Source organism: Homo sapiens, chromosome 1, assembly GCF_000001405.40.
Source record: "Homo sapiens chromosome 1, GRCh38.p14 Primary Assembly".
NCBI classification, from domain to species: domain Eukaryota; kingdom Metazoa; phylum Chordata; class Mammalia; order Primates; family Hominidae; genus Homo; species Homo sapiens.
Window position 1 is genome coordinate 107,868,549 of NC_000001.11, and position 21,855 is coordinate 107,890,403.

General features: G+C 37.4%; 1 protein-coding gene across 7 annotated transcripts in view; it reads right to left on the bottom strand.

Moving 5' to 3' along the window:
- The window catches only part of VAV3 (vav guanine nucleotide exchange factor 3), a 394,020-nt gene that overhangs the window by 297,388 nt on the left and 74,777 nt on the right, over positions 1 to 21,855 (bottom strand). For all 7 annotated transcript variants that reach the window (XR_007063680.1, XM_017000053.2, NM_006113.5 and 4 more), the window contains exon 2: positions 6,353 to 6,469. Coding sequence is in view for 6 of the 7 variants with exons in the window: in XM_017000053.2 (XP_016855542.1) it covers positions 6,353 to 6,469 (117 nt within the window). In the remaining variant the exon portion in view is untranslated. The remainder of the gene's footprint in view (positions 1 to 6,352; positions 6,470 to 21,855) is intronic.

Genomic DNA, 21,855 nt, shown 5'->3' on the forward strand with positions numbered 1-21,855 from the left:
AAACCTCAAGATCGATGATATTTCTGGAATCACTGGCAAGGAAAAGAAAGCATTGACTATGAAGCTGGGACTGTACTTCTATTTTATTATTTACATGCTGCAAAATAGGTTCTGGGACTTTGTCTTTATATCTCCTCTTGCATATACGATAGGAGATGTAGAGGCTTAACAAATGGTCTCCAAATTGCTTGGAACTTCGGTAATAAAGATTAACACATCTACAAACCTGAAATCATTTAACTGGTGAAACACAGTGAATCACTTAGATTTCTCTTACTCTTGGTTGAAAGAACTAGTGAAAACTGGCTCAAAAAAGAGAAAAGGAGGAATGTATTGGTTCATGGAAAAACCTATAGATATACATTTAGCTTTGGGCACAGCACTGATTCCCACTTCACAGGGTGTCACTAGGTTCATCTTCAACTCTATTCCCTCTGAACTGGGTCCATTTTGAAACTCCATGTGGTACCCAGATGGTTATAGCTCCTTGTGTAGACTCACATCTACACTCTTCTGTATCAGGAAGAGAGAAAAATAAAACTACCCTTGCAAATGTCTTATTGGTCCCAACTGAGTGACTAACCCCATTCCTGAACCATCACTATGTGGTCAAAGGCATGGGATATAATTGATGAAACCATCCAAACTCTGTAATTAAGAAAGAGGAAAGTGTGGTTTCTCAAAGGAGATCCAAGGCCACAGAAGGAAAGAGAAACGATGGCTGTGCAAAATAAAATAAAATAGTGCTATACAACATTAGAAAGAATGAATTTTATTTCTTATCTCACCCTTTTAATATCATTAGTTCTCTTGCACTTAATTCAAAATTCGACACCTATGTTTACCAATGAATCCCACAATCATTAAAAATAATAATAGTGATAATAACATTAACAATAAGAGTACTTACCTTGGACCTTGACACTCTGTTAAGCACTTGACATACACAATTTCATTTAATACTCACCTAAACTCAATACATGGATGAGGAAACTGAAGCTCAAAGAAGTCAAGTTACTTGCCCAAGACTGTATACTAATAGGGAGCTTAACTGGAATCCAAACCAAGATCTAACTCAGAAACCATGTATTGTTTTGTTTTTCAATTTTTTATTTACATAGGTTCTGTGGGAACAGGTGGTATTTGGTTACATGAGTAAGTTATTTAGTGGTGATCTGAGATTTTGGTGCACCAATCACCCGAGCAGTATACACTAAACCCAATTTGCAGTCTTTTATCCCTCACCTCCTTTTCACACTTTCCCCTGAGTCCCAAGTCCACTGTATCATTCTTATTCATTTGCATCCTCATAGCTTAGCTCCCACATATGAGTGAGAACACACAATGTTTGATTTTCCCTTCTTGAGTTACTTCACTTAGAATAATAGTCTCCAGTTCCATCCAGGTTGCTGCAAATGCCATTAATTCATTCCTTTGTATGGCTGAGTAGTATTCCGTCATATATACAATTTCTTTATCCACATTGATTGACGGGCATTTGGGCTGATTCCACATTTTTGCAATTGTGAATTGTGCTGCTATAAACATGGGTGTGCAAGTATCTTTTTCGTATAATAACTTATTTTCCTCTGGGTAGATACCCAGTAGTGGGACTGCTGGATCAAATGGTAGTTCTACATTTAGTTCTTTAAGGAATTTCCACACTGTTTTCTATAGTGGTTGTACTAGTTTACATTCCCACCAGCAGCGTAGAAGTGTTCCCTGATCACTGCATCCATGTCAACATTTATTATTTTTTGGTTTCTTAATTATGGCCATTCTTGCAGGAGTAAGGTGGTATTCCATTGTGGTTTTGATTTGCATTTCCCTGATCATTAGTGATATTGAACATTTTTTCATATGTTTGTTGGCCATTTGTATGTCTTCTTTTGAGAATTGTCTATTCATGTCCTTAGCCCACTTTTTGATGGGACTGTTTGTTTTATTTTTCTTGCTAATTTGAGTTCCTTGTAGATTCTTGATATTAGTCCTTTGTTTGGTGTATAGATTGTGAAGAATTTCTCCTACTCTGTGGGTTGTCTGTTTTCTCTGCTGACTGTTCATTTTGCTGTGAAGAAGCTCTTTAGTTTAATTCTTAACTAAAATACAACTCTTTCTCTCTCTCTCTCCCAATAATGTTCTTACCTGTATCCCTGACTCACCCCTAAGCTGATGCTCTGAATTCCTTTTGACGGTGCCTGTCCTGAACCTGAACATGATGAAACTATCCTATTGCAATTCAAATCAACTGGACCTACCACTGGCCAGGTATGGATACTCTTTAAGAAAACATATCACTTTACACTGTGTGTCATGGGAAGCAGGCCCTTCACACTCACCCAGAGGCAGGGTAAGGAGATGACTTTAGTCACTCATCTGGACAGTGGCAGCCTGACTTCTATTACGCTCTAGAAATTGTCTCATTAAAGAAAAAATCCCATGTGCTTCTGCACTGTCAATGTGCCAACAGACAGCTCAGTAGGAAACATTTCCAAAGAGTGAGTTAATCATAAACTGACGATTGAAACAGTTATGGAAAATTCTTTACATACAGTACGGAAACGAACAAAGTTACAGATACTGTCATGATGTCAAAAAATAATATAGTAATTTCTAATATTATGCCAGGGGAAACATTTTAATTACATTTCTTAAGCAAAGAAGTTAACTAACAAGATTTTACTTATTTTTATTATCAGAAAGCCAGAAAGAGATTCATCTTTTTTCAAAAGTAAGAAAGTAAATGGTTTTTCAAAACATAAACCCTCAACGTCCCCCATTCCCCCCCTCTCCCCCCACCAGACCTCAGCAGTCTTAGAAAAGAAATCTCCCTCTTTCAGGAGCTTTTTTCAGTATTTAACAACCCTGAAGAGTGAGAGTCATATCTAACCTGAAGGCCTCTGCTGACTCTTAAATGAGTTCAAGTTACTAAACTCACTCCTCTTTCCTGTGTGATTAAAAAAAAAAGTGTAGAAAGCGTTTCAAACTGTTCTAATTTTTGTTGATGTTGGTGGAGTTTGAAGTGAATTACTACTGAGGAAAGAGCTCAATTCTAAGAATAAAGGTAGCACTGAAAGGCAGAATTATCATAAGCCCTTCTAGAGAAGCCCAAATAGATGCTCTTCACCATCTCACAAAATACAAATTATCATTTGTGTTAACACTGTTTCCAGGATTTTCCAAAAGAAAACACATCCATATCAAGCCTAAGATTCAAAATAAATCTCCTAAACCCCAAACAGAGGGAGAGCTTGGACAAAGTTTAGTGAGCAGAAAACACCACAATGAGAAAAGGGGTAAGAGAGTATAGCTAAGAATTGACTGCATGTGTACAATCAGTGAATCACATGCCTATTTAGAGTAAACAACTTTAACCACCACTGGGCTGCAGACTCATGCAGTATCCTAAATCTTTCCTTTCTTTCTAAAGTATAAGTAGATGCCAAGTAACACATCACCTGTGTTTTTTAATTTTATAAATTCCTTTAATTTTCTTCTATAAGTTCATCCTTTTCCCTGACCATCCACAGAGCAGTGAGACCCAAAACACAGACAGTGGACAAGAAAAACAGGACTGAGAAGCCAGAGGCCTGAGCTCCAGATCTTGTTCCTCTTCCCAAGCAAGGAGACCCTAGAATCACTATCCAAGCACCTCCCCATGTCTTAGCTTCCTCATCTGAAGAATGTCTTCACAAGAGTATTATGACAATCAAATGAAGTCAGTAATATTAAGCACTCTGAAAACTTCAAAGGCTATAAAAACACTAGGTGCTGCTATCATAATTAATACATTCTTTGGCAAAAAGATGCCAAATACACATGAATTCCAGATTCACCAATGTAGGAAATGAGGCAGACAGGAGAGCACACATAGATATTATTCATTTTAAGTTAACAGAACATTTAATTAAATCCTACGGAATGGAGGAAAACAACCTATCCACATCCTGTTAAAATGTATATATTCACGACATCAGAAATTATTTTGTTTCTGAATTAACACTATTCACATTTTTTCAACTTAAAACTACAAGAATTATTTCAGTTCCATTACCCACAAGCTAGGACCTATAAATGGGAAAAATAATAGTATCCACATGTTGGGATTGATGCGCTGATTCCCTCAATATATGCAAAGTACACGTTATGTGCTATGTGAATGTTTGCACTATGGTACAGTAGTGGACAATCAGCTAGACCTGAGTTCAAACTGCTGCTTCAATCTCAAATAGATATGTGATTTGGGATGCAGAAGAGAAAAATGTAGTACCTAACCTCTTAACGTTGTTACAATTTTACAAATTATACATGAAGACTGAACAGACTGCATATTTTAAGTGTTCAACTACTGGTGGTATTGGCAGTTTTTACTTAGAGTATATAATGCTTAATACTATTAGTACTGGTAAATTATGAAGCTATATCACAAATTCTTTAACTTTCAGTGTTTTCTTTAGATCATACAGTTCTAAAGAGATAGCTACTCCAATCTTGGCAGTAGCAAAATGTAAGTGACTATAATGTAGGTTCAAGTTCTAAACCACAATCTCATGTTTAATTCTGTTTCAGATCTACCACTGCTAAAATATTTTAAGCAGTCAAAAATACATTTATCCTTGAGAAGCATACAGTTTATGCTTTCACATTCAATTTTTTGTAGTATCAACTCTCCTACAAAGCTTCCGTTGTCTAATCAATCTAGCATGCAATCTCATTCCAGTAGAACACCACCATGCATTTTAAAGTATTTATATATTTTTCCAACATTTATCAACACCATTTCTTGCAAACTTAAATGAAAAATAAATAGTTCCTTAATGAGCTTTAAAAAGTCAAGACTTTTTCATTTTTCATTTCCCCAATTCATTTTCATTTTTCATTTCCCCAAAAGAGAGGGTGAAAATAAAGAAAAATCAAGGAAGATTTTTTTAAAGGTGCAGGAGGAACAGGCGGAAGGATAAAAGAAAAATAAAACCAGAAATATCTCTGGTGTTTTTCAGGGCCAACAGCTTAGAGAAGTGTCCACCTCACCTGTGATTCATGGCCACAGACAAATGCGCTCCCATTTCCTTACTAGGGGCTTGGCTTTCAGTTCGTTGTACAAATTATCATCTTTTATCCTCCATCACTTTTTGGACCTCAAGACAGTTAAATCACAGCTTTCCAGAGATTAAAGGAATCTTAGAAACCACCTTCTTATCCCCCCTTCCTTTTGTACAGCTTTCCAAGCTGGCAGGCAGCCTGATGCCTGAGAAGGCTGGTGCCTTCTAGATCACAAAATGACCATGGGTTAAGACCGGAGAGAGAACCAGGGCCTTCCCCCACCCCAGGTAGAGTGGCTTCCCCATATGCGCTGTATTTCAGCATCAAATTTCCTATATTTCTGTCTCAAGTTTATGCTGTTTAGCAAAGAGCAATCCATTGGTTATTTTCTAATGAAAATATTATATCTCAGAGTTAAAACAATGTATACTCTCAAACAGCCTTTTGATAAGATACTAGCACCTGAATTACAAGAATAAGGACAAACTTCTCAATAGCATTAGTTTTTTCCTCCTTATTTGCTTATTTTCATAATGCAATTACATCAGCATAAGCTAAAGTCCTGTCACCTTAATTACCTGACTCTTTTATGGCTAGTTACTTGTGAGAGGTTTATGTCCACTCACTTCATAATAAATGACCATAATTTTTGAAATGATGATTTGTTTCACTTATTATACATGTGTTTAGTGTGCATACGGATAACAGTAAATATTAAAACAATTTCCATGTGAAAAATGTCCTTGAAATCCAACAAATATCTGCTGAAATTCAAGCAACAGAAATTATTCAACAATCTTGAACACTTGTGATTCATGTCTTCTCTGAGTCACCCAACCAAGTATCAAAATAGAGAAAAGGACAACAGAACATTCTCAACTTCCAAAAATTAGCAGCTTTCAGATATAGAGAAGACTGGAGGAAAAGAATACTGGTCCTCAGGCCTGAGTGCCCAGTGATCAACCTAAAGGGCAGATAATAGTAACCCTAACCTCTGAGGTGACCAGCAGAAAAAAAATTATCTCTGGAGAAAAGATTCCCTCCCTGTATACTATTTTAATTACAAAATAATTCTAATCTCATTTGGAAAGTTGATGCTAATTTTTTGGTGTTGTTGTTGTATGTGTGGGGTTTCTTTTTTGTTGTTGTTTTTTGGTTTTTGGTTTTGCTAAGCCATCTACATGTGAAATTTAACTATATAATGCAGATACATAAACCACTTAAGTCACATGCCCTACTTCAAGATTTGAAACAATTTGCTTAAATGCTTTCCAGTTAAAAAGTAGTGTTAAAAATGAAGTATAATTACCTTTCCAAAGTCACGAACATCAAACAAGTCAAATGCCTCGAAAAGTTCACTTTTCCTCATTCCAAACGTCTCACAACAGGCCGTGAGAAATGTCCTTATGTTCTTCAAACAGAGAAACTGAGGAATGGAAAAGAGCTGTTAGCATAAAGTTAATTATTCTGAATGCTATCCACCCTCTGTAACACTCAAGACTGCTCTAAAAATGACAAGAAAGCATCAAGCAGCCTTTGAAGTTGCTTTTCAATTACTCATTCAGCAGTACTGACCGAGCCTGCAGTCTCTCTCAGGCACAGGTGATACAGCTGTGACCAAGGCAATTTCTACCCTCATGAAACTTACATTCTAATATGAAAAGACAGACAAAACAGACAAAGCAACAAACACAAATAAGCAAGTATTTTTACTTTCATATGGTGGTAAGTGCAATAGAGAAAAATAAAACCTGGAGGAGGGATCAGGAGAGTTGGTGGGGCTGGGTGGGGGAACTTAAACAGGATGGTTAGAGAAGGTCTCACAGAGAAGAGGATGGTGGAGCAGAGATCTGAGGTGCAAAAGGAGCAAGCCATGGAGAACCGTAGCACACAACAGCCCAGACTAAAGAAGTGTTCCATACCAAGGCCCTGACATAGAGGCCTCTGAGCGTGTCTGAGAAAGGGGTCAGTGCAGCAAGGCAGAGTGAGTAATGGGGGGAAAAGGAGGAAAGATGGAAAGCTAGTGGGGTCAGATGATGAAGATCTTTATGGGACAGTTTTTACTCTGACTGATATGGGAGGTCATTGGAGGCCTTGGCCAAAAGGAGGACATAATCTGATGGTTTAAAAAGGTCTTTTTGGCCTGTTGTGCTGAATATAGAGTGAAAGGGGCCGGAGCTAGGGTGGAGGCAGGAAAACCAGACATAAGGCTCTTGCAATAACCCAGGTGAGAGACAACTGTGGGAAGACCAGAGTGTGGTCACTTTTTGACTGTGTTAAATCTGAGAGGCCTATTAGTCATCCAATAAGTGTGGAGTCCAGGGGATAGGTGTGTACTTCAGACAGAAATATGGGAGTCTTTAGTGTACAGAGGACTGTTAACCATGACACTGGCTGAAATGACTGTGGAATAGAGCAAAGAAGAGGAGAGTACCTGAGCCAGGAAACTTTAAAGGATCAGGAAAAGAGGAGGAGCTCACAAAGGAGTCTTAGTAAGAGTGACCAGTTAGGAAGTAGGAAAACCAGGAGATAGGGTTTTCCTGAAGCCAAGTAAAGAATGTGTTTCTAGATGAAGGGAGTGAAAAACTATATCAGATGCTGCAGACGGCCAAATAGGATTTAGACCAACGGATTGGTCAACACTGCCCATGGATTCTGGCAGTGTGAAAGTCACGGGTACCTTGACAAAAGCAGGCTCTATATGGAGGAGTGGGATGAAAGGCCTCTTGGAGTTGGTTTCAGAGACAAAGAGAGAAAAGGAAGTGAAGACAGAATATAGACTCCTGAGTTTTGCTGCAGAGGAGAACAGAGAAATGGTCAAGAGTTTTAAGAAACAGCAGAAGATGTCGAGACATGTTTCTGTTTTGATGGGAATAACCTGATAGAGAGGGGAAAGCTGGTAACAAAGCAGAGAAGGACAGTTCCCCAAATGTAGTCCTGATTAGGTGAAGTGGGGAGAGATCAAGTGTTTAAGTGCAGCAGCTGACCTTAGAGAAGAGCATGGTCAACTCATCCACACTATAACAGGGAGATAGGAGGGAAGGCAGACACTACTGACTACTTAAAAAAACAAAAGTTAAAATTTGCTTTCAGTGTCTAAAAGACTCAGATCCACCTAAGCAAAATACACACATACCCTAACTGCAGTGGCACATATTTTTTTAAAAATATACATGTGAAAACTTTAAATAGATGCATTTTATTATATGTAAGTTATACCAAAATAAAGTTTAAAAAAATGGAAAAAAACCTACTAACCATCAAAAAGTGAGCAACGTATTAGCTAATTATTGTATCTTTGCTTTTTTAAAAGTGTTGCCAATGTCTTAATTCATTGTTTTGTTTATCTTGGTTTGTTTTTTTAATTTGCAGAAAGCATATCTTTTTTTACTTCATCTATTAATACATTTGAAACATTTGGATTATTCATAGGCTTAACTTAGACACACTTTACCCTTCACGGGAATCATTCTCAGAGGCTTAAATATTTCAGGAGGGATTAAAACCACAAGGGAAGCATCATAAACCCTTTGAAACACAAAGGCAGCAGGTAATCAGCACATGCAGTTACTGCTTTCACTTTAAAAAATTCATAAGAGACCTTTAAGACACAGAATCACTCTGCATGTAGCTCTTCCACATAGAATTGCTTATTTACAGATTAAAAGCCTTGTATTCTACCAAGACAGATAATAATTACTCTCTTGGGGATTATGCAACTGCTCTCTTGCAATATCGTTTACATAATTAAGTGCCTGACTCATAGCTCACCAAGGAACAAAGCATAATTGCACACACCACGCTCTGAAGATTTCCCACCAAACTCAAACTTTCCCCACCTGTAGGGAAAGCTGCAGAAGACTTCCATAAAGTGCTTTGATCACTAATTCAGAAAAGCAAGTATTATTACTAAAAGTTAAAACAATATGAAATATTGCATGCACAGAAGATTTAAAAAGAGGCCTTCCCCTTACTTCTGGAATTCATCTTAAACTTACTTGTCCCTTAACTAGTTCAGATCTACTAAATTCCACAAATATTTACTGAATTTGAAAGTCACTTATATACTCTCACTTTTCCAGGCAATCCTCAAATTTGGTCACCCCTTTATTTATGTATTTTTCAGTTTTTGAATTCCTACAACATTACACATACTGGAAATGTTAAAAATGAACAAGACAAAGCTCTTCCTCAAGCTTCTCTGTTAAATTTATCAGGAGATTTTCCCACTGCTCCAAAATTTGACTAAATTAGTGCTGAGTCTAGTGCGAGCCTAGTGTTATTCACTAGGCTCACACTTCACTCAATGCTCACAAGTGTGTGGCTCTGTGCACATATAGGAACAGAGCTGAGGAATAGAGGAAGTGAGGCTGCCAGCCTGCCAGCAGTCCACTCCAGGACTTTTGCTTTGCTTTTACCAAACTGATTTTTTTTCCAGTTTATTTATTTTATTTTTTTGAATTTCAGAACAAAAGTTGAAAGAATACAATGAACATTCCATCTACATGCAACAATTGCAACATAGTGCCATATATGCTTTTGCACCTATACCCTTTATATATTTATAAATGTATTATGTTCAGCTATTTGAAAATGAATTACAGATAACACTTGACTCCTAAATACTCTGACTCTACCTGCAACTCCCAGGAATAAGGACATTTTTCCTACAGATCAACAATACCATTATATCTAAGAAAATTAACAATAATTTCATATTATCTAATATCCATTCCATATTCAAATTTCCTCAATTGCCCACTTTTAGTACTAGGATCCAGTCATGTTTTACCCACTGCATTTGGCAGTTTTATCTTTTAGTCAGTATCTTTTAATCTAAAAATACTTTTGCCTTTATTCTTCTTTAATGACATTGACTTTTTGAAGAGTCCAGGCTGGTTGTCTTACAAAATGTCCTAAATTCTGCATTTGTTTGGTTGTTTCTTCATGGTATCATTAAACCTATTATTCTTTCACTTGTATTTCCTGTGAACTGAAAGCTAAATCTAGATTCAAATTAAACAGTTCTGATAAAAGTACTTCATACTGTGAACTTCATATTTCATCACATCAGAAGACACAAAATGTTAGGGTGTCCCATCATTACTGAGGCTAAACTCAATCATTTAGTTAAGATGGTTACTGCCACATCTCTCTACTGTAAAGGTACATGTCCCCCCTTTATAGCAGTAAGTAACCCAGGGGTGAAGATGTGGTACCATGTGGCTGTCCTATTTCCCAATAATTTTTCACAATGGGATTAGTATTCCTTGATCATCCTTGCTTTAATTATTCCATATGAGACTTTAAAATAGTGATTTTTCTAACTCTATCATTCTTTTCTTACTTACACGCTAGTATTCTTTTGTCAAAAAACAGAAAAAAAGCTTCCCCTGACCTCCCTTTTTTTCTATTTTTGTAATAATCAATTGCCATCATTATTTTTTTAATGCTCATATTGTCCCACGTTTGGCCACTGGGAGTCCCTTCAAATTGGTTCATGTTTCCTTTCAACATAATTAATAATTACAATAATATTTGTTTCATTGCTTTCTTATATCAAGTTGTCCCAGGTCCATCTCACATTTTCACTGCTGTAGCTCTGGAATCAGCCATTTCTCCAAATAAGTCTTATTTTCATTTATACAATAAATAGTATTTGGAAACCACCATGCTGCTCCTAGAATACAAGAGCCAATTACATGAGAAGAACAAATACCTCCACCATTTGCTTAAGCAATCTATCACTTGCAACAGAACGGCTCATATACACAGGATTGGCCTAACTGGCCTCTAATGTTCCTCTCAGAAAATTCTATAATTTTCTTTGTGGAGTGCATAATAAGCCAATTCTTATCTCACTGTGTTCAGACAAAAAGAAAATTGAGATAACTGAAGAAAACTGATGAATGTATGATTTTATGGCTAGAGATAGGGTGTTTTGGCACAACATTACTTGAGTGTTTTTTTTTCCCAGTCTATTCATTCTTTGAGATTAGAAGTTATCTGCTAGACCTTTGAATCATCTGAAGCAGCTTCAAATATACTGCCTTCAGAGATATTTTATGAGTCAGAAGGGCAAATCCAGCTCACTGTTTCATAACCATACCTATTTTTGACAAAAAAAAAAATTGTACAACTTTGCTAAATCATCTAACTTATTTACATAAGTTAACTTAACAATTTGTTAGAATTTAGAATTTCAGGACTTAGAATTAAATAACTTTAAATTTCTTTAAATATTCAGTGTATCCATATAAGAGTTGCCAAGTAAGGATACACAAAAGTTTAAATAGCCATGCATCCTCATTTAACAAATATTCATGAGGTGCCTCTTATGCACTAGGCATAATGAAACTCCATAAAACAAATCCCCAATTGGGTAGTGATTTATTAATATATTAAACAAATGTTAACTGAATAAAAATGCCAAGAGCTGGGTACAAGAAAAGCAAACATGATCCAGACTCTATACTCAAAGGCTTATTATAGTGAGACAGAACATACAGACAAGTGAGTCCACGGTTGCACAATAGTTTGGCAAGTGCAATGAAGAATACATTCAGATGCTCCTTGAGAGCCCTAGGGTATCAGGGACAGCTTTCTGGAATAACTGATACATGAGGTAAGAAAGGATGAGTGGGAGTCACCTACATAAAGAGAAGGAGTGGTTGGTGTTTAGAAGGCAGAAAGGCAATTTCCAGACTTGCAGTGAGAGGATGCTCCAGTCAAACGGCAAAGAATGTGCATGAAAGCATGGACCACTTGGGGCAGTGGAAGCGGTTGAGATGGACACTTCTCTGGACAAGAGCGCTGACAGAAGGAACAGAAGAGGGGAGCTGGGATGTCCATGGCATGCCAAAGAGATCTTGGCTTTGTCCTAGAAGTGATGAGGTTAAAAGGTCTTAATTAGAAAACTGGAGGCCAGATGCGGTGGCTCATGTCTGTAATCCCAACACTTCAGGAGGCCGAGGTGGGCAGATCACCTGAGGTCAGGAGCTCGAGACCAGCCTGGCCAACATGGCAAAACCTCATCTCTGCTAAAAATACAAAGATTAGCTGGCTGTGGTGGCACACACCTATGGTCCCAGTTACTGGGGAGGCTGAGGCATGATAATCCCTTGAACCTGGGAAATGGAGGTTGCAGTGAGCTGAGATCACCCCACTGTACTCCAGCCTGGGCAACAAAGTGAGATTCTGTCTCCAAAAAAAAAAAAGAAAAGAAAAAAAGCACCAAAGGAAAGCGGAATACTCAGCTTTGCATTTATGATTATTGGTGTTGTAGTGATGTTTCGGTGCTTGCTATGTGTCAAGCTCTATGCTAAATGTTTATGCCATTCAATCCTCACAACAATCCAATCAGAAAAGTTTTAATTTTTTTTTAAACACATACTGAGGCTTAGAGATTTACCAACATTTACATAACTGCTTTTGCCAAAGCAATGGAGTCAGGATTCAAATCCAGACATTCTGGCTACAGGGCCCATATCCTTAACTACTATGTTATATTAACTCCATTTTTGCAGCTTATAGAATTAAATGTTTTTCTTCTTACTAGAGAGATGATGTGGCATAGGAAGACAAGACAAGGACAACCAGGACATTATCATATAATTTAACAAGAAATAATGGGATTTAGACTAGGATAGTAGAAGGAGAGATGGGAAGAACTCCAGGAGATTACATGGAAAAGAAATATTTGGTAATTGATTGACTGTGTGTGGGGACGCAGTGGGAGAGAAAAGAGAAGACCTCAGAATTATAACTGTACCTCTCTCTGCCTTGGGCACTGGAAGGATAGCAGGGCATTCACTGAAAATGGTAACTTAGCAAATTGGGGGACATAGTATGTGAAAAGGAGGCCAGGGAGTCAGTTAATTCTTGTCTTCACATATAAAAACTCCCAGTAATTAGATGCTGCCTAGCCTCTCTCTCAGGTATATCCAGTGAAAAGTGATGTATTCTAACAACAAAGCCATGTGTCTTCAACAACCATGCGTAGCCTCTCTCCCTCTTCAGAAGGGCATGAATAGCTCGCTTATTTCAAGGTGAGGAAGGAAAATGGTAGAAAAGCACTCAATATCAATGCACATAACTTCCGAAGAAGAAAGTTTAACACCATCAAGGTCTAAAACATCCTAAAATTATAAATCAGGCCAAAGCTCTCTGGATTAGAAAATGTTTCATAACCAGGTAGCTACCACAACAGACAAGGCATGAGTGGCTTTTCAAGGTGCAGCCTCCTGTTACCACTTTAATGTTAGCAATATTGACGCTTAAAAAAGGAAACATTTGAAGGTCAAACTGCTAAAGTTCACTACAAAACTCTGAATCGCTCCTTTTCCTCTACCCCTTAAAAGTGTATGGTTTCCTTTTTCTCTATGTGTAAAAGCCATCTTGACTTTTCTCAAAGATATGAATGCAAACAGGATGGCTTCCCTTTTTATTTGAAAAAATAAACACCGACTTCTCCAAAGTTGCTAGGAATAATGGACTAGTGGTGTTAACTGAGGCAATGGAAGAGGAAAAATCTCTACAGCTTATTGTGAGATGAGTTATTTCAGTCCCAAATGAGAAATGACATTTCATGAGAAGGTCGGTGAGTGCTAATAGACCTTCACACAATGTAGATTTTCTAACTTATATTTGATGAGGCAAGGACCACCCAGAGCCAACCTGTGTGTTGAAGAAAGAAGCTCTCAGCATCTCAGAATAAAGAAGTTCTCAGTAGGACACTTGCTATTGAAAGATCGGCCCTGAATTTGAGGGTCTGGCATAATTCAAATTATGAGTGGCCATTATAATAAGATGATTGGCAGTTTCGAAAGGCACAGAAGAGACGACCATGAAACCGATTTACAAACATTAAGGTACAAGAAGAATTCTCCTTCTCTTCTCATCATAACTCCTCCTCTATACCTCTCCAAAGGTCTCAGATCATCCTTTTTTTTAACTGGTAAGGAGGAAGAGGTGTAAGGAATATAATAATATCAAGCTTCTCTCTTACTGGAGTTCCCTATTTCTGTCCCTTTCACCATATCTTCTCTATATCTCTCTTTTAAAATTAGGTGAGCTAAATCTTACATCTCCTAGAAATTTAATAAAAGAATAATTTTTATTTGTATGAGGACCTTATTTGTCCTTTTCCCCCGTGTATCAGTGGGTCCCAACAGAAGGGGCATCATCATCCTCATTCTAAGAAATCATACCTTCAAATATCCCCTGAATTACAAAATAAGTATGCTACATGTGGTATCAGTTTAGGACTGCACAATATGAAGCTTCAAATTATTTTCATACTGATGCTAATATCACAGTAAATGATGACCCTAAAGGACATGCAGAGAGGACATAAATGGAGAAGGGTTGTTCCTTAGCTGTAATCTTGTCATCAGTTCACTAAACCAAAACCTCCCTATTCTCAGCAATTTAAAAGCCAATATTTCTGTTTTGATTATTGTCCAGGCCACAACTCATTTCTAATGGGTAATTTTTTAAGTCATTCGTTCAAAAATACAGTAATTTACCATTTAAAGTTAACAGGTTTTTTTTCACAGTATTCAATGATAATGTACTTTCATGAGTTATATGTAATTATATTGAAATGGCTAAGCTCATAAATGCAGGGCTAAATTGTAAAAACACATGCACCCTCTTTGCTCTGCAGCACCCGGCTCACATCTGTTATGGTAATAACTGTGCTTAACTATAATATATCTGTCTGACTACCTAGTGCCCTAAGAAATAGTAAATATTTGAGAGTAAAGAATACATCTATATTGTCTTTGTATCCCAAAGCTTTTATAGCACATACATGTTTTCAAATAAATTGATGAATGAATCCTGATGCAGTTTATCTCTAGGAAAAATTAAATGCAACGATTCCTTAGTAGTCAGGGAACTCAGTAAAATTTTACATTAAATTGTCATCATATCTTCTTATTTCAATGTTAATGTAGCAATGTGTCTTTTTAAACTTACCTAAGAACATTTTTAGAAGTTATATTAATATTTATAAATAATATCAATAAAGATTTTAAATTATTAGGCAATTACATTCTTAAGCATGATCTTTAGTCTGTGTTTCCTGCCTCTGGTGTGTGTTCAATGGGAAGCTGCCAACTGATTTTCAGGGGCCCTTGGCCAGCAGTCACCATAACACACACACACAAGCCCTCTGCTGCTTTCAACAGCTCTTGTCCTTATAAGAGGAAGCACTGCACCCCTCTCCCTTGGCAGAAACTTAGACTTAGAAACTCAGTTTCAAAGGTTTTTCTGTCAACACCTGCATTAGTCCCTGGACATACAAAAGGAAGACAAGCAGCATCTTTACTCCTCCTTTTGTGTTTTTAGTCTTTGCACTAAAAAACTGAATACCTTGGAAGTGCAGAGGTCAAAGTTAGCCTGGATCATCTATTTTCCTAAGTTAATTAACCTGCTAATGAAAGTGGTGCATGTCGCTGCCTTTGGTGAAAGAAAGTAGCACTCAACTATTTTGTTAGCCAGAAGACAGCTAGCTCAAAGCAACCCAGAGATGGGGCCCAGTTTAAAAAAAAAAAAAAAGTTAAAAAGAATAAGACCTAGTATTTGTACAACAGGCAGACTATAGTCAATAATAATTTAACTGTACATATTAAAATAACTAGAAGAGTACAATTGGGTTGTTTATATCACAAAGGATAAATGTTTGAGGGGACAGATACCTAATTTTCCATAATGTGATTATTACACACTACATGCCTGTACCAAAATAGCTCATGTACCCCATAAATATATACACCTACTATGTACCCCCAAAATTAAAAATAAATTATTTATTATTATTATTATTATTATTATTATTATTATTATTATTATTATTTTGAGACAGGTTCTTTCTTGCTCTGTCACCCAGGCTGGAGTGCAGTGGTGCAATCTCAGTTCACTGCAGCCTCAATCTGATCTCATGTGCTCAAGTGATCCTCCCACCTCAGCCTCTAGACTAGCTGGGACTACAGGCAGGCACCACCATGCCTCACAAATTTATTTTTTATTTTTTTGTAGAGATGAGGTCTCACTATGTTTCCCAGTCTGGTCTTGAACTCCTAGGTTCAAATGATCCTCCCACCTTAACCTCCCAAAGTGCTGGGATTATAAGCATAAGCATCATGCCTGGCCCAAAAAAAAATTAAACAATTTTTTAAAATATAAAAATTTTTAAAAATATGGCACAATCTACATTCCAAAGAAAGCTTGCAAGGTTCTCTACTTAGGGCATGGAAAATAAGCATTTCTTTCTGCACACATGATAAAGAAGTAGTAGAATACAGTAACTAAAGTCAGGATTTTGGTATCAATGGAAATAGTGGTGGTTTAGCAATAGTAATGTCAGCAGTAAAAATAACAGTGGAATAGAAGTAGTGGTAATAATTGGAATAGCAGTGGTGGTCGTAGCAGCTGCTAACACAAGCATGGAGGGTATCTAGGCTAGAAATGGACTGCCTGCCCTTCCAAGGCAGAGGAGCTTCAGAACGGCACACCAGCCAAGAAAACAGCTCCCTGTGAAGCAGGGAACAAGAATCGCCATGCTTGCCTTGCCCCAGAAGGAGGGGAGCTGGGGTTTTTCCTCATTAGAGTACAACATTCAAAATGAGGGAAAAGGTGACACATAAGTCTGTCGCTTTTATTTTTTATTTTTATTTTTTTGAGATGGCATATTTTTCCTTACCTGGATAATACTGCTATATGATATGCTAATGGCAGACTAATGCTAATGTTACATCAATTCACTAAATGAATTCTGTTATGCTGTAATTTGAACTCTCCTCACCACAACTTATTTTAAAAGTACCAACAGTTAAAAAAAAAAGAAAAGAAAAATACAGTCAAAAAACATTACATTTTAATTCCCCAGGAGTAAATTGATAAGTAATTGGAAAATCATCACTGGGAGAACATGGAATAGTCAAGCATAACAAACCTACAGAAAGATAATTATCTACAAATGTAGGAGGTACATTTACCTGCCTACCCACCTCTTCAAGCCTAAGTCTCTTCCTCCTCATTTAACCTGCCCTTGACTTGTAACAGTACTTACCTGATACAGGTAAGTACTGTTACAATTCCCATTTACAGACAAAGCCACTGGGGCACAGACAGGTAAAACAACTGGCCCTACCTCACATAGCCAGTAAGTGATGGTGCAAGGTTCTAACCCACACTGTTGGCTCCCAAACCATGCCTTTAACAACCATAATATTCTGTCTCTTATATGGCAGACTGTCCCAAACTAGGGAGCTGGGAGCTACAGGTTCTTTCCTGAAGGGGATGATAATCTTGAGAAAGAGAGAAACACATGAACAGGACATGTCAATCCCACTAGGTTTAGTTCCAACGAAGGGAGATTCATATCTCCAAGGAAGTGGCTGAACTGAACATCCAAGGATGAACAAAAAGGTCATGAGAAACAGTATGGTGAGAAGCAAGGGGACTAGCATATGAAAAGGCCTGGCCAAAATTTTGGAGGAAATGCAGGAATTCAACTGGAAGTCAGAATTAATTTCTCCATAAGGACAAGATAATGCCTCACGGCCATGACCCTGCCTCCTACAAACAACTTACAATATTGACATATGTCCCAGGTATGACACTAAGAACTTGCCATGGAGTATCTCAGTTTATACACATAACCCGATGAAGAAGATGCCATTATTCCATTCTATCCATAATGAAACTGAGATGCCACAAATAACCAAAGCTATGGTAGCTAACAAGTATAGAGTCAAATCTGAAGCCCCTGCCAGCACCCTTCCCCTCCATGCTACGCAGCCTCTCGGGGAGGGGTTCTACAGCAGCCTTAGGACTGGACTGCAGGCACCTGCCACTTATCTAGACTTGTGTTCCATTCTAAGGAATGCCTGGCAGGATGTCATTCCTCAGGAAAACATACTACAACCAACTTAAATTGTTGGAACAAACAAAGTTGAGGACTTCCTTCATTTGGTTTTACCCCCAAAGCTTCAAGAAATCTAAGTGGATAGGTTTTGTATAGTGGGTAGTTTCCAAAATAGCTTTCCTCTTCTTATGAATCTTATTCATCTAGGTTTGTACAAACTTGTACTTTCTTCCTTCAATTCCACCCATGCTGGAAACTTCCATCAAACTGCTCCATTCCTCACCCTTTGCTCTCCCAAGCAGCACACCCCCACCCAGGAGATCATGCTTTTATATCTGCTGCTGCTCTGCAGTGGTTAGTATAAACTCAAATTTACAAAATAAAAATGAAAAAAAAACCTGCATTTGCCATGGGAAAGAAAAACTATCAGAAAAATTAAGTTTAAAAAAAATACAACAAAAACACATCCAAAAGCATTACATTAACAAATGTTCTACCAATTGTATTTCTATTCAAAAGCAAGGAAACAAAGAAAGTCTGTAAAGTAAAACAAGAAAGTAAACATAAGTTATTAAGTTAAACTAGAAATAGATGAAACACTTGTTAGTATGTTTTTACTAGTCAAAGAGAACTTCTCCATGGTTTGCTTCAACCCTAAGGCTCTGGGCCAACCCAAGCCCCAGGCTGCACCCTTTACCCACCAATGCTCCGTCCAACCTGGCAGCGAGCAGTAGCCATGAGGACTGCGCTCTTACCCGCATGGCAGACACACTTCAGTCAAACTCCAGGAAGTCAGCTTTGATCTTAATGGCTTCAATCACGGATTGAATTTAGTATTTTCCTTTGACTACAGTGACCCACCAGTGCATGTTGTTAAAAACAGCAATATCAATAATACTCTCATAAATAAATGTAATCTGATTTTAAATCATTGTATCACAATTGTATCAAATATCACAAGAATTATTCTTTGGGATAGAAATCTGCCCAACACATAAAATCTGCAACCATTCATTCTGGCTTTTTATGAATCTTCTATGAAATGTAAATTCCACTATTTTGTCCTTCTATCTCCGTGATAAATGTCCCCAGAATACCCATATTTGAATATCCAAATTACATCCCTCATATTGCCTTTCATATTCAGAAAGTTTTTAAAAATCTTTTACAATGCATGCGTCTTAATTTTCAGTTCTAAACCCTTGGTTACTGTTCACAGAAAGCCAGGGTGTATAAGTGCCACTTCTGAATGGTACCACTACGATACCCCAACCCATACACCAACACAACCCCCTGCTCAGATATTTGGCCCTCTCTGATGTTTCATGACCCACAGGTGCTTTGATCTCCTTACCCAAACTAAATACATAATAATTTTTCTGGCACCTCTTTAATTTTTCCAGTTCATTTTCTGCTTTGTCATTTTTGTGACAATTAAGTAGGAAATATGCATCATTAAACTTGAAATAATTATTAATTTTACAAAATAACAATTTTTCTGGCCTCCAACCAGGCTGTTTTGGTTCTATCCAAAAATTTGGGGGGGGGGTTATTTTGTAAAGTATCTTTAAGATCAGACTTAAGAATAGTGTGTTAATTCTTCTACATAAAGTAAAAAGAAAGGATTAATGGTTACTTTATAATCTTGTATTATTATTCTTACTGGCATAATAAAATACATCAGAGAACACTGTTATTAACCCCACACTGTGATATCTTCTTTATTGAAAGAGGTAATCTGTAGTGCAACTAAAAACAAAGTGCAACATTCCCCACAAGTGACTTCAACTTCAGAAAAAGTTGGCCTATATAATTTCTATGTAGCAATAACCAACAAACCCAGTGTTTAAACTGTAGCTCAGATCAGCAAAACACGTAGCGCTAGACTAGGCAACCTACTCTCCCCTCTTCCTTTCCCCAACTACAAAGGAGAACACCACTTTCTTTCTCAATGCCTTTCAGCAGGCTTCTTCTCTACCCTGAGACACTTTTTGTTTGTTTGTGTTGTTGGAGATGGACTTTCTCTCTTGCTGCGCAGGCTGGAGTACAATGGTGCAATCTAGGCTCACTGCAACCTCCACCTCCCAGGTTCATGCGATTCTCCTGCCTCAGACTCCCAAGTAGCTGGGATGACAGGTGCCCGCCAACACGCCTGGCTAATTTTTGTATTTTTAGTAGAGACAGGGTTTCAGTATGTTGGCCAGGCTGGTCTCGAACTTCTGACCTCAAGTGATCCCCCCGCCTCGGCCTCCCAAAGTGCTGGGATTACAGATATGAGCCACTGGGCCGGGCCTACCCTGACTCACTTTGAAACAAAATTATTCTCATATATATCAGTCACTGTTTCTCTGTACTAAATTACATTCTATTTTCTGTCTATATTTCTACCTAATTGATATTCTTTCTCGGCACGCACACTCCTCTGAATTTAGCATCATCTCCAAATTTTACATAAATTTAAAGATAGGCCCATCTACATTTTACAATCGGCGGCTTAGAGAAGGTAAGTAACCTTCCTAAATTCACCTACCCAGCACCAGTGGGTGGGTCTGACTCCTGGGCCCATTCTTAATGACTACAGTAAATTATCTCCTTATGGCCCACAATTCTTGATGGCAGAGCCAGGATTTGCATCCAGGACTTTTGTTCCAAGTTCTCCTGTGTAGAGTGTGTGTGTGTGTGTGTGTGTGTGTGTGTGTGTGTGTCACTTGCCATGTAGCAGGCTATTTTCAGGGCATATAACAATGCCCAAAAACCTCCAAATTCTGTTATTGTATAATACTATACAATTGGGTAGATTTTATTAAAGATGTTTGATAAAAATAGTAAACATCTGAGAGGAGAGAATGACTATCACTACCCAGAGTTGCCACGCAAGGTTTAACACAGAAATGTAATGGCATGAAGAATGAGGAATACTCCAGGTAGACAGAAATGAAGAATGAATATATAATTTATTGTCCAAAACAGATGTTTTTTAAAGAAAGGGACACTAGCAATAATTGTGGTAAGACAACAGGGCTTGATCCAGGACCATCTGTGGTGAACCAGGACAATGGTCTTCCTACAGAAAAAAAAAACTGGTTTAGGCAGAAAGAGCTATATATACTATTATGGCTGTTTAAAAATCACATAACATTTCAGTGTTAGATTTTACATAAACAAATAAAACCCTACACCACATCTGCCTTACAAGAGTAGAGTGGCAATAAATAACTACTGAAGAAATAGCCTATAAATACCTACTTAGAGAGGTGAGAGTCTAGAATGATGTAGCACAGTCTATTCAGGAAGCTGTATGATCAGAAAGTGTCTTCCATTTTTGGCAGAAAAATGACTAAGTTAGGTGCAGATTTGGAGAACACAGAGATTACGGTATTTACTAAACTTGGGGATAAAGATAAAACATTTAATTCATTGAAATCGATTTCACTGTGAACATTTGTCTCAAAGAAGTAAGACTAAAGGCATCTGGCTGTGGAAATTAACAGAATTTGAGATAATCTATCCTTTTTCTTTATTGTATTACCTGCTTTTGATTTTATTACCTGAGAAACTTATTTACGGCTTATACTCCAGATTTTAGCTCTGCTCACTATTTCACAATCTTAATTTTATAAAAATAAAATTTTATTCTTTCTTAGTATCAATGCTTAGGTTTTGCACTAAAATCACCGTATCAGCAAGAAGTAGTAAATTGTGAGTCAGATTTGTGTACATATATCGGAGTCCACAGTGCTAACCATTACACTATGGCTCATGTACATATATCATATATATTGTTATCTGTATGTTTACACATACAAACATATGTAATTTTCTTAATAAATACCACTACTTCTATGTAGTATTTCTTCTGAAAATATTAGCCATATAGAATACTAACCAGGTTGAAGTATATCCAATTAAGTATACAAAGTACTTCTTGGTCTTTTCTT